The 12770-nt window shown below is 53.7% G+C and overlaps 1 protein-coding gene across 2 annotated transcripts in view, besides 4 other annotated features; it reads left to right on the top strand.

Annotated features, from left to right (window-relative positions):
• The window catches only part of ECE1 (endothelin converting enzyme 1), a 128255-nt gene that overhangs the window by 1023 nt on the left and 114462 nt on the right, over nucleotides 1-12770 (top strand). The gene's annotated exons all lie outside the window — the stretch shown is intronic.
• Nucleotides 506-595: an enhancer, noted in NCBI's record as "active region_330". NCBI's record gives its function as "activates an Ori minimal core promoter by ATAC-STARR-seq in GM12878 lymphoblastoid cells {active_cell/tissue: GM12878}" and the evidence as "EXISTENCE:reporter gene assay evidence [ECO:0000049][PMID:35858748]".
• Nucleotides 1146-1195: an enhancer, noted in NCBI's record as "active region_329". NCBI's record gives its function as "activates an Ori minimal core promoter by ATAC-STARR-seq in GM12878 lymphoblastoid cells {active_cell/tissue: GM12878}" and the evidence as "EXISTENCE:reporter gene assay evidence [ECO:0000049][PMID:35858748]".
• Nucleotides 5039-5981: an enhancer, noted in NCBI's record as "H3K4me1 hESC enhancer chr1:21664994-21665936 (GRCh37/hg19 assembly coordinates)". NCBI's record gives its function as "activates a minimal SCP1, AML or CMV promoter by ChIP-STARR-seq in primed H9 embryonic stem cells {active_cell/tissue: H9 hESC(primed)}" and the evidence as "EXISTENCE:reporter gene assay evidence [ECO:0000049][PMID:30033119]".
• Nucleotides 9887-10106: an enhancer, noted in NCBI's record as "active region_328". NCBI's record gives its function as "activates an Ori minimal core promoter by ATAC-STARR-seq in GM12878 lymphoblastoid cells {active_cell/tissue: GM12878}" and the evidence as "EXISTENCE:reporter gene assay evidence [ECO:0000049][PMID:35858748]".

Genomic DNA, 12770 nt, shown 5'->3' with positions numbered 1-12770 from the left:
GGGAGCCATCTACTTCTCTTTGGTTTCTTTCCCTATAGACGAGCCACTCGGATTCCCTCTCCTAGTTCTGTTCTGTGCCCTGTGAAGTGGGTCAAAGTCACCATGTAGGGCTGAGGAGGGCATGTGCCTGGGATGGTGGCTGCCAGTACCTGTGATCCAGCCCCTCCACTTCTCTGTGATGATGCTGCCAAGCCCGAGGGCGCCTGGATGGGAGCAGGATGGGACCCCCTGTAAAGCCGAAGAGTCCCACAGTGGTTCCCAGCCCCTGCTGTGCCCAGAGCTGGAGTCCCCTTACAACCCGCCCCCCCATCTCTCCCTTCCAAGGCCTCTTCTCACCCAGCTAGGGTCTTCTTTGCTTAGGCACCGCCAGTTGCCTCACTAGAGTCAGAAGTGGTGGAATTATGGCTTAGTTCTATACCTGAAGGTGCTTAGAGACCACGTGAGACTCAACCTACCTCCTCCATTAGGAATCTCCCCTGTAATGCCCCACCCAGACCGTTTCCGACACAGGGAGTGCACTATCTGTGGACCAGCACTGGATTTAAAGTCTCAGTGTATGGGCACCAAAAGGCCGTGAGACTTTGAGGTTGTATGATCCCCTCTGCCTCTAAGCCCACCCTGAGTTACTCATAAAGAAAATTTTTTCTTCCTTAAAAACCACCAAAAAAAGAAAGAGGTCCCCTCACTTTGCCTTGGTGACACTTTATAGATCCTTACAACTGAAGAAGCCCACCAGCCTATTGTGAAGAGTCCAGGCTTTGACGTCACACCAATTTGTGTTTGAACCCCATCCCCTCCACTTCCCCACAGGGACTTTGGTCTAGGTGAAGCATCACCCTTGAGTTTCAGTTTCCTCATCTGCAAGATGAGATGATAACACTTACCTCCAAAGGGTGAGATAACCCAAGTGAGAGTGCTTTGCTTCAGTACTGCTTAGTTTTCTTTTCCAAGCTTGAGCCCACGCTGGGAAGTTCTACCTAACATCTAACCTATTTGCCCCAGGGGTTGTCTCTGGAATCCAAAACAAAAGTCTGTCATCCATCTGTCCAGGGCTATGGGCTGGCTTTTCCAGCACAGGGACAGAGGCCACCTATTTGCTGGTCTGGAAGACGAATGAAAGTTTATCATGTTGTAGGGAGGAGACCGTGATACTTTCGTCTGTCATTTAGCCAGGACGTGTTGAACACTTACTCTAAGCCAAACCCCATGTGAGGGAGGAAAGAATTGACTGAATAAACAGTGTTATGGGAGCTTCCACCAGGCCATAAACGTCTGCACTGGTCCTCAGACTTTTTGGCACGTCCTTGGAGAGGTAGAAATATGCCAGGCAGGGGCTCTCTCCAAGCTGGAGAGACGAGAGAAAGCTTCATGGAGCAGGTGACATCTGAACTGGAAGGGGTGTCCCGGGAGGGGGACCTGTGTGACAGAGGAGCAGAGGTGTGAGTGCACAGGACAGGCTCCTGGAAAGGCCAGAATGGGGCTGGTCTGGCACCTGGCTATGAAAGGGTCAGGAAACAAAAGAGAAAGAGGGCAAAAAGGTTGCTGGGGCCAGAAAGTACTAGGCTGAGGAAGTCCACGGTGGATTGTTGACCGGCGGTGCATGCATGGGGTGGCGGCTGATGTCAGGCCTCCCTGGCTCCTGTCATTTTAATTTCCTCTAAACATTGGTTCCTGTGCTGTCATTCCTGAGGCAGGGGTGATTCGGGACTGATCAAGTGTTTATTCCCTGGATCTCCTGCTCCGCGGCTTTTAAACAAATCCAGCACTCACTTCTTTGCAGTGTGGCCAAGTTGTCCTTGGCCCCTGGGTTCCTAATGCGGCGCGTTTGCAGGGCGTGTGTGTGTGTGTGTGTGTGTGTGTGTGTGTGTGTGTGTATCTGTGTGTGTCTGTGTGTCTGTGTGATGTGTTTCCTGTTGTCCTCACTGAATCTCCCTGATGGTCACCAGCTCCCCACCCACGTCTCTAACCCCTTGGCAGGGAGTCAGTGCTGTTCTTAAGGGCCTCGGATGGACCGTCTCCCCCTGTTTTCTCCCAGTGCAAGCCGTGGGCCGAGGGTTCTGAGGAGGCTTTTTATGTCTCCTGCCTCCGGTTGTACTCAAACCACCCTGCAGCAGGCACAGAGAGGTGAAGGAGGTTGCCCAGGGTCACAGAGCAAGATAGTACCAGAACAGGCACAAACCTCCTGGACTTTTGGAGGGGTAACCTGGCAGACAGTTGGGGGAAGGAGACCCAACCCATCATCCCCCATCTGCAGCTGTGGCACCTTGAGAATGTTCCTTCACTTTCCAAGCTGGGGCTGAGTTGAGGCTACCGCTGAGGGTTGGGAATGCTCTTTACTATACAGCAGTTGAGTTGAGAACAGGGCCCAGGGTTTTGGTTTGAATCCTGATGTACTACCAGCTTGCTGTGTGACCTTGGGTCAGCCATTCCCCGGCTCTGTGCCCCCTTTCCTACAAAGTGGGGCAGATTTGCTCCACTTCTCCAGATATTGTGAGGGTACAATGTATGTAGAAACACTGTGGGAACTATTAAGAATGTGAGGGAGTCCGGGGGCAGTGGCTCACGCTTGTAGTCCCAGCATTTTGCGGGGGCGAGGCGAGAGGATCACTTGAGGCCGGGAGTTCAAGATCAGCCAGGGCAACATAGTGAGACCCTATCTTAAAAAAAAAAAAGGTAGGGAGAAGCGTTACTGTTTGAAGATAGGAGACTAACCACATGCCCCCACGTCACTCTGGTGCCTCTCAGCCACTCCAGATGGGGCTCCCAGAGCACAGTGCGTACTTCACCCTGGGCAGCCTGTGCCCCTGCTGGTGACTGGGCTACTGAGGCCTCCTTACATTGCTACACTCTTTTGGTAAACAAGGATGTTGTTACCTTTTGTTAAAGAATAAATACATTGTTTTCCCTGCAGAGTTGGGGAGGCCAGGGGAAGAACAGGATTTGAGGCATGAGAGGGCTACAAGGTGGGCTTGGCAGAATGTTCTGGGCGTTAGCCCAGAAAACCAGCTTGGCCAAGTCCACACTTTCATGTCTACGGTGAGAGAGGAACCATGAGCAAATGTTTACAATTTTTTGTGCTTCTGCTCAATTTTTTTCTCTCCAATTGACTGGGTAAGCCTCCTGCCATAGTCAAAGGGCTTCATTCATTTGTTCATTCACTCACTCACCAAACAAGTCTGTCTGGCACAACACGAGGCATGGGGGCCGTGGTCAGTGTGAGTGAGACTGATAGGTCTCTCTCTCCCACAGTCTGATGGACAGGCAGGCAGACAGATACAGAGCAGGAAATTACAAGCGCAATTACTGTTGTCAGGGAGACACGCGGGGGGCTGTGGGATTGGACCGGGAACCTGACCTGAGGATCAGAAAAGGCTCCCTGAGCACATGGCATTAAAATCATAACCTAAAGAGCGAGTGGGACTGGGAAGAGTGTTGGGGGGCGGGGGGTGGAGGGAGCAGAATGTGCAAGAGTACAGACCGCTGTGCCTTCAGGGATGGTTCATCTGGAGGCACGGAGGACTGTGCTTAGGAGGTGGCCCGGAGGGTGCACTCAGGGATGGTCATATGAAGGACCTGGGGCTCAATCCTTAGGGCAGTGGGGAGCCACTCAGGAGTTTATTTTTTAAATTTAATTAATTTACTTATTTATTGAGACATAGTCTTGCTCTGTCACCCAGGCTGAGTGCAGTGGTGCAATCTCAGCTCACTGCAGCCTCAGCCTCCCTGGTTCAAGTGATTCTCCTCAGTCTCCCGAGTAGCTGGGATTACAGGCGTGCCACCATGCGACTAACTTCTGTATTTTTTTAGTAGACACCGGGTTTCGCCATGTTGCCCAGGCTGGTCTTGGACTGCTGACCTCAAGTGATCCACCCGCCTCAGCCTCCCACAGTGCTGGGATTACAGGTGTGAGCCACCGCACCCAGCCTACTGAGGAGTTTAGAGTCAGGGGAGTGACACGGTCGGATTTGCATTCTGAGATGGTCACAGGCTGCTTTGTGGTGATTGAGTAGAAGGAGTGAGGCCGAAGGCTGGGAAACCAGTGAGGAGGCACCTGAAGTGGCCCTGGGAGAAAGGTGGTGCTGCAGGCACCATCCAGTCCTCCTCTAGCCCAAACCACGCCCCTGGCATGCTGCCCAGAGCAGTCAGTGAAGACAGAAGGAGGCTGTGGCCCCAGACAGAGGTCCCAGACAGCCCCTTCTCCTGAATGTATTGACCCTTCCCCTCATCCTTTCAGGCAGATAACCAGCCGAGGGCCCTGGTCTCCAGAGCCTTTAATAGAGGAGAAAGAACAAGTTCCCAGATCGCTCTGAAATAAGGTAGAAAATGCTATGTGCCAACCTGGGGATGCAGCTCCAGAGTCATCCTGCCCATAGGTGTGTATCAGGGAAGCCTTCCCAGAAGAGGTGTTAACACTTGGTGGAATGCTTCCTAGACGCCAAGTTTTGGACACATAAAAAATTAGGAGGGGGGTTCACTTGTCCTTGAAGAGTTAATAGTCTGAGGGGCACAGTTTAATGAACAACCAGTGCTGGCGGAACCCCACTGTCAGGGTGGCACTGGAGTCCAGGACCTGGGGCCTGCCCTTTCCTTGGGCCCCTGAGGGCAGAGTGGCTGGGATGCCCCAGGCCTGTCTTGGTGGGCTGACAAGCCTAGGAATGGCTCCCTCCTCCCAACAGGGCCCCTTTGGACTTCCTGGGGGGAGGTGTAAACAGGGGAGCAAGTTTCTAGAGAGCATTCAGGAAATCGGCTAGGTGGGGATCTAACATCAGGGAGGTGGGCCTGGCTTCTGGGCCTTCTAAAGACGCTAGAGCGCTTGTATGAAAAGGGGATTAGGAACCACCAACTTCGAGGCCCCTGTTTGACAAGTGGGAAGACTGAGAGACAAAATGAGCATCTACTATGTGCCTGGCACTTAAATGTAATCTCTGCTCTTCACACCAACCCCAGGGAGGAGGGTGAGCCTTATTTCAGAGTTGTAAAAGCTGAGGCTCAAAGGTCACTTAGGGAATTAGGGACGGGAGCTAGACAGTGGCTCCCCGATTCCTCTAGATTATTATGGCTTCAGTCCCAAGCTGCCACTCAGTTTGGCAGAAACTTGGCCTTCCTGGGAAAGCCCACTGGGACAGGGATAGGACTGTTGAGCCGGTAGCCAGAGGCGTTGAGAGCTCACTGGGGCTGGACACTGGCCAGGCTCAAATGCTGGTTATTTATTGTTCACCTTTGCACCGCACTTGACAGTTAGACCTTTTCTTCCCCATTCACCGACTGTTCTTGGATTCCCACTGCCAATCAGTAGCAGAACTAGAACTTGAACTCAGGCCTTGTGACTCCCAGCCCAGTCCCCCGCCCTGAGATCCCCAGCTCCCCAGCTCAGATAACAGCCCCTCCCTGTCTGGCACCACCTGGTCCCCTGGCCTGGGTCTCCACTAACCCCCACCCCTAACACCTGATGTCCCAGCCTTTCTGACCACATAGCCCTCTAAGCAGGAGGAGCAGCCCCTGGCCCAGAAGCCTCCTCTCCCCATCCTCCTCCCACAGCTCCCTTCCCTCCTTGGCTGGGAAGGCAGGAGGGTGGGCCTGGGGCAGCAGCCAGGCAGAGTTAGGTTACAGCGTAAACACAGTCATGTCAATATTTACCTCTGCCTGGAAGCAGAGCCTCCCACCTCCCTGCCTGACTCCCTCCAGCTGCCCATCCAGCTGCACATGGCCCGCTCCCAGGCTCTGATCTGGTCATTGAAAGCAAGGCCAGGGTGGCTTCCAGCCCAGGCTCTGCCACTAATCCTTGTCCTCCTGAACCACGGTCTTCCTTCGTGGGCCTCAGTCTTCCCATCTGTGAAATGACATGGCTGGAGCAGACTGACTCCAGGGCCGTCTTCAGTAATGACATGCAGGATGACAAGTATAATACTCTCATTCAGAGGATAGACTCGAAGTTGTGCAAATCTGGGTTTGAATTCCAGCCCCACCACTTCCTCACTGTGAGACTTGGGGCAAGGCACCTAACCCCTTTGAGCTCCACTTTCTTCCTCTGTAAAATGAGAGCCTAGCAGTACCCATTTTGTTTGCTGGTGAGGATTCATGAGCTATGTTTGTAGCACTTGGCACAGGATAAGGTTTGATTAAATGGTCATGGTGGTGGTTGTGATTCCAGATAAACATTTTGCGATTCTCTGAATCCAGACACTTGGTTGCGTCACTTGGAAACTGGAGCCAAGGGTGGGGACTCTAACCTCATGTCCTCCTGGTCCTCTGAGAGGCCACAGGCTGGGCTGGGGTGTCCAGGGGTTGAGAAAGCTCCTTGGTCAATACCACACACACCCCCAGCTGCCTGGCCATTGGAGTCCCTTCTTATTGGGCGGAGGTCCAGGGCTGAAATGTCCTCAGAGCTATGTGGCCATGAGAGGGATGAGGGAGGGCAGAGGGGGCAGAAGGGGAAGGAAGGACTCATTTCCTCAGCAGCTCTTTCACAGAAGCTTCGAGTCCATTACACACATGAGCTGTTCCTTCCAGCACTGGAGAGGAGGGGGCGAGGGGCGAGGACTGGCTGCCTCCAGGTGCCACATCTGAGCAGGCAGTGTGGGGAGGAGAGGGCAGGGAGGCGGGATCTGCCCGTGCAGCAGGAGTGGGCCTTGGAGACTGATGGGCCCAGGTTCAAACCTGGCATCCTCACTTTTTGCATTGTCACCTTGGACAGCGTGTCACCTCTCTAAGCTTTATTCTCCTGTCTCTAATATGGAGCTCCTGGGGCAGTATTTTGCCCAGTAGTTAGAAACGCTCAATCAGATCCTGTTTCAGAGTAGCCCAGCTGAGGGCTGGCACATACAGAGGACTCAGTCGGTGTCACCTGCTGTTATTGTCATGACTGTTACGATGATGACACAGGATGCCAGACTGGACCTCATGAGGGCAGAGATTGTACGTTTCTAAAAATTGTGGTATAGTATAATTTACTTAAGTAATGTATGCATATCTTGTACAGCTCACGTTTTACAAATGCACACACCTGCATACTACCTGGACCAAAGTGTGAACCATTCCCACAGTTCCCGTGTGCCTCCTCCATCAGTCCCCTGCAGCAGGTGGCCACTGGCCCTCTAGTTTGGCCTGGTTTTGAGCTTTCTCTGTGTGGATTCATTCATGTGTGCTCTTTTGTGCCTGGTTTTCTTCAGCTTTGGACAGCAAGGAATGTTTGAGGTTTGTCCGTGTCGCCTGTACCAGCATCTGCTCCTTTTTAGGCTGAGTCGTGCCGCATTGGGTGGATGTACGTGTAAATGTCCGTGGCTGACATTTGGGTTGATTCCAGCTTGAGGCTGCTGTGACATTCTCGTATGTAACTCTTTGCAGACCTCAGCACTCATTTCTTTGGGGCACATACTTAGGAGTGCAACTCCTGGGTCAGAGGGGCAATGTGTGTTTAACTTTCTTTTTTTGTTGTTGTTTTTTTGAGATGGACTTTCACTCTTGTTGCCCAGGCTGGAGTGCAATGGTGCAGTCTCGGCTCACTGCAAGCTCTGTCTCCTGGGTTCAAGCGATTCTCCTGCCCCTGTCTCAGCCTCCCAAGTAGCTGGGATTACAGGCGTTTGCCACAACACCAGGCAAATTTTTTCTTTTTTTTAGACGGAGTCTCGCTTTGTCCCCCACACTGGAGTCTCGCTCTGTCGCCCAAGCTGGAGTGCAGTGGCGCGATCTCGGCTCACTGCAAGCTCCACCTTTTGGGTTCACGCCATTCTCCTGCCTCAGCCTCCTGAGTAGCTGGGACTACAGGTGCCCGCCACCACGCTTGGCTAATTTTTTGTATTTTTAGTTGAGACAGGGTTTCACTGTGTTAGCCAGGATGGTCTCAATCTCCTGACCTCGTGATCCGCCCACCTCGGCCTCCGAAAGTGCTGGGATTACTACAGGTGTGAGCCACCGCGCCCGGCCACAGCCGACTAATTTTTTGTATTTTTAGTAGAGACGGGGTTTCACCATGTTGGCCAGCCTGGTCTCGAACTCCTGACCTCAGGTGATCTGCCCACCTCGTCCTCCCAAAGTGCTGGGATTACAGGTGTGAGCCACCACGCCCGGCCTCAGTGAATGTTTTTTGTTGTTTTGGTTTTGAGACAGGGTCTCTCACTCTGTCACCCAGGCTGGAGTACAGTGGCATGAACACAGCTCACTGCAGCCTTGAACTTATGGGCTCAAGTGATCTTCCCACCTCAGCCTCCTGAGTAGCTGGTACCACAGGTGCACCACTACACCCAGCTAATTTTCTGATATTTTTTTGTAGAGACAAGGTCTCACTAGTTGCCAAGGCTGGTATTGAACTCCTGGGCTCAAGTGATTCATCCACCTTAGCCTTCCATGGTGCTGGGATTACAGGTATGAGACACTGCCTGTCTCAAGTGTTTTTTGAAAGAAGGAAGAAATTTGAGTCCTTTCTTTGTCTTAATGCCCCAGATTCACTCTGTAGCCCTGCCCCTGCCCCCAGGGCCTGGCAGTTCTGGGCTGGCACTCTGCCCAGACCCTGGGCTTTGGGCTTCGCCTGCTGTTCTGCAGGGTAGGGAAGGGCCTCCCTCCCTGGAGACCCACTGATTGGCTGTGTGACCTCAGGCAAGTCCCTTCCCCTCCATAGTCCTCACTTTCCCCTTCCGTCAAGCACTGGGTGGGTCGAAGCTTCCCAGCTCCCTGTGTCTGTGGTCTCCCTCATTTGGGAGCCTTTGCTCCTGGTGTTTGGTGCCTCTTCACCCCCAGGGTCTCACCCACCCCAGGCAGGAGCTCAGCTGGCCTGTAGCTTGCAGAAGGACCATTTGGGAAAGCTGGTGGGCCCTTCATTCTTGGTACCCGCCCTAAGAGCCTCACTGCGACTCTGTCCACCCTGGGTGAGAGCCCTCCAGAGTAGGCCCCCAGCCGTGAGAGCCCCCCACCCACTGAGGCTTGGCATCAGGTCGCCCTCGGTCTGAACCCTGCTATTCCCTGGCTCTGGGACTTTGGGCGGCTCAATCCACCTCTCAGGGCTGCAGCGTCCTCATCTTCAGGGTTGTGAGCACCCAAGGAGGCCCTGCCTCATTGTGGGGACAGAAGAGAATGGAGCAGTCACATGCCTGCCCCTAAGGAGCTGCACTCTAGGGGAGGAAGCTGGAGACCAAACAGGCAAAGCCACCCACCAGAAGGATCGCTCCGAGAGAAGAAAGGAGACAAAACAGGGCGATGTGGTGGAGAGTGGCTGTGAGGGGAGGGGGCCGCTCTAGAGGAGCGGCCAGGAAAGGAGGTGATGTCTGAGCTGGGACATGAAGGTTGAGGAGGGGGCAGCCGGGCAAAGACGGGGGCGGGGGAGATGAGAGTTCCCGGCTGCCGGAACAGCAAGTTTGGCACATGTAGGGGGTGAACGCTGGTGTGGCCGGGCAGAGGCAGTGGAGGGTGGAGGGAAGGCTAGGGAGAGGTGGGCCTGGAGGGGCAAGCCATGGACAGCCTTGTCTGTGGGGCAGGGGTCAGCATTTCGTTCTAATAGTGGTGGGAAGCCACTGGAGGACCCCACGTTGAGGGGCGACTGGGCTTGGTTTCTGTTTGGAAAGACCTTGGCTGCTGTGTAGAGCATGGACTGTAGGGGGCAGGAGGGAGGCAGGAGCGCGGGCCTCAGGATATTCGTCTGTCCTGAGGCTGAGGAGGCGTAGGTTTCTGCAGGATCTGGGATTTTGGCTGCTACTTCAGGGATGGGAGAGAGGTAGCCAGGCATCCCAGATGCTTCGAGACCTTGCTGGCAGCAGAGCACAGTGGGCAAAAGTTACCTGTGGAGCCAGACAGACCTGTCTGAACCTCCACTTCAACTCAGCCTTCCGGGGTGGGCTTGGGATTCTCCCAGAGTGACCAGTTCCCACCGTCCCAGCCCCTGGGGACCCAGAGAAACAGAGCCAGAGGGCATTGAGCTGGAGCCTGCCTCCCTCGCTTCCGCACACCCTGCCGAGAAGTGAGGGCATAGGAAGTGATGGCCGCAAGGGGATGCCCAGCCCCTCTGCTCCAGGGCTGCTGTTCACACGGCCACGCTGGAGGGAATCCTGTGGCTTTGTGGTTCCTTGTTTCCTGGGCTGGTCTGGTGGAAGATGGCCATGAGAAAGCGGCACTTCATCTTCCTTCGCCCCTGAGTGTTCAGTGGGTGGTTACTCGGCATCCTGTTGGGCTTCCGGTGTGGTGGCTGGGAGCCAGAGAGAGGAGGGCATGAGAGCTCACAGAGTCACAGGAGGTGGGACTTGGAGGTCATCTAGGCCAACTTCCTCATAGGGCAGACCAAGGCTCACAAAGGGAAAGAGACTTACCTGAGGCTATACAGCAGGTTAGAGGCAGGACTTAGACCCTGATTCTAGACTCCTCATCCAGCACTCTTTCTAGATAAGATGGAGGTATGGAGGTTTTGGAGCCAGACAGATGTGGGTTGTAGTCCCAGCTCTGTCACTTAGTCCCAGCTGGGTGACCTTTGGTGAGTGACCATCTCTGAGCCTCGGTTTTCTCCTCTATGAAATGGGATGATGGTAGCACCTTTCTCATAGTGGTGTTGTGAAAAGTGGTTGATAATTTATGACAGGTTGTAAAGCTCACAGGACGGTGCACGGAGTTGGCCCTTGGGAGGTGGGAGCTGTTATTACCTTTGTGGCTCCGTCATTTTTTTTTTTTTGAGACGGAGTCTCGCTCTGTTGCCCAGATTGGAGTGCAGTGGCACGATCTCAGCTCACTACAACCTCCACCTCCTGGGTTTAAGCAATTCTCCTGCCTCAGCCTCCCAAGTAGTTGGGATTACAGGCAGGTGCCACCATGCCTGGCTAACTTTTGTATTTTTTAGTAGAGACGGGGTTTCACCATGTTGGCCAGGCTGGTCTCGAACTCCTGACCTCAAGTAATTTGCCTGCCTCGGCCTCCCAAAGAAGTTGGGATTATGGGCGTGAGCCACTGCGCCCAGCCCGTGGCTCTGTCATCCTAACCTCCTGAAGCACCGGAAAGAATGGCTGCGTGCTGGCCCTCACATATGCTGTTTTCTGATGAACGCGGTTAGGGAGGGAAGATGAGAATGGGCCATGGTTGGCCCATCTCTCTGCTACTTATTTTATTTCCCCACTATATTTGAGAGACTCCTTAGCCAGGCCACACTACTACCCACCCACCCCCCCGCCCCCCCCACGGCTCTGGTGGGCTGGAGCTGTGCTGTCTGCCTTCAGCCCAAATAGGGGTGGGGGAGGCGGAGGCACTAAGTGCAGGTCCCGGGTGAAAAACTGGGCAGCTCCCCCCACCTTCTGCATCAGATCCCTACCACGCACCACCAATACCTGTTTGTTCAGTGTGACCTAGTGGTTAAGACCAAGGGCCATGGGATCAACTTGAGCTTGAACCCTGGATCTGCCATTGAATTGTCACCAAGGACTTTTAGCAGGCGTGTCTTCCTCTCTGAGCCTTGGATTTCCCATCTGTGAAGTGAGGATAAGTCCCTCCCAGGAAGACTGCAAATATTCAGTGAGAGGAGCAGCACTCAGAGCATGCATGGTGCATATCTGGTGCTAGACTCCAAGAATTGGATGGCACTAATATTGTAACAGTGTTGACACATGTCCCAATTGTTTCTCTTTCCATAGCTGTTCTTAGAAACTTACTTCACCATCCGCCCACCCCACCCCCATCCTGTGTTCCCGCAGCCCCCTTCCCTCTAACTCCTCGCCTGACTGACTTCTCTCAGGGTCACCTTGGACTGAAATCTTTCTCCCCCTCCCCTCCCCTCCCCTCCCCTCCCCTCCCCTCCCCTCCCCTCCCTCACCTCCTCTCCCCTCTCCTCCCCTCTCCTCCTGTCTCCTCCGCTCTCCTCCTGTTTCCTCCCCTCCCCTTCCCTCCCCTCTCTCTCCTATCTCTCTCCCCCCCTCCTCCCCCCTCCCCCTGGACTAACACAGATCAAGAGTTCAAGCTCTGGCCCAGCCTGCCTGGGTTTGAATCCCAGCTCTGCCATTTACTGGAGCAGCCTCAGGCAAAGTACTTAATTCTTAGCCTCTATTTCTGCATAAGTAAAATGGGAATAAGGATAGTGCCAAGCTTAGAGAGTTGTTTAAATAAGCGACGAGATTCTTGTAAAGTGCCAGGATCAGTGCCTGCAGTACACTAAGTGCCTAATAAATGTCACCTGATTTATTACTAGGCAGGGTTCTGATGGAGCAGAGCCCCTGCCTTTTCACCTCTGCGTTCCCAGTGTCTGGCAGGGATGGGACTGGAAGGGATGCAGGCTCTCTAGGGGTTTGTACTATGGCATTGGAGAGTTGCCTTCCCAGTGAAGCAGGCCTCTCCAGAAAGGGGAAGGGACTCGGGCCACATCTTAAGCATGTCTGTCTGGCAGATATTTCCCACAACCCTGCTGCACACCACTGGGTGCTGAGGATGGGGTGGGGGAGGGTGCAGTAAGGCTGCCCTTAGTGAGCTCAAGTCCACGGAGGAAAGTGGGACAAAACGGCCCTGATACTATCAGAGAATGACCAGCCCAGGGCTGGCAGGTTGCTTCTGAGGAGGCTCCTGGGAGTGGTGATGTTTGATGTTTCCTTGTGGGAGTGACATAGTAGTAACTTCTGTCTGCATTAGGGCTTTATTCAGTAATCCTCCATTCTTTCCTGCCCGCGGTGTTTTACTAGTCTTAGCAGTAATAATAATAGCGTTTCTTGAGTGTTTGCTGTGTGCCAGGTACAGCACTAAATATTTTATGTTATAAATTTACTTAATCTTCACATCAACCCTGTGAGGTACTTATTATTGTTATTCCTGTTTTGTAG

The sequence above is a fragment of the Homo sapiens genome, chromosome 1, assembly GCF_000001405.40.
Source record: "Homo sapiens chromosome 1, GRCh38.p14 Primary Assembly".
In the NCBI taxonomy this organism is placed as follows: domain Eukaryota; kingdom Metazoa; phylum Chordata; class Mammalia; order Primates; family Hominidae; genus Homo; species Homo sapiens.
This window is presented reverse-complemented; position numbering and strand designations above follow the sequence as displayed.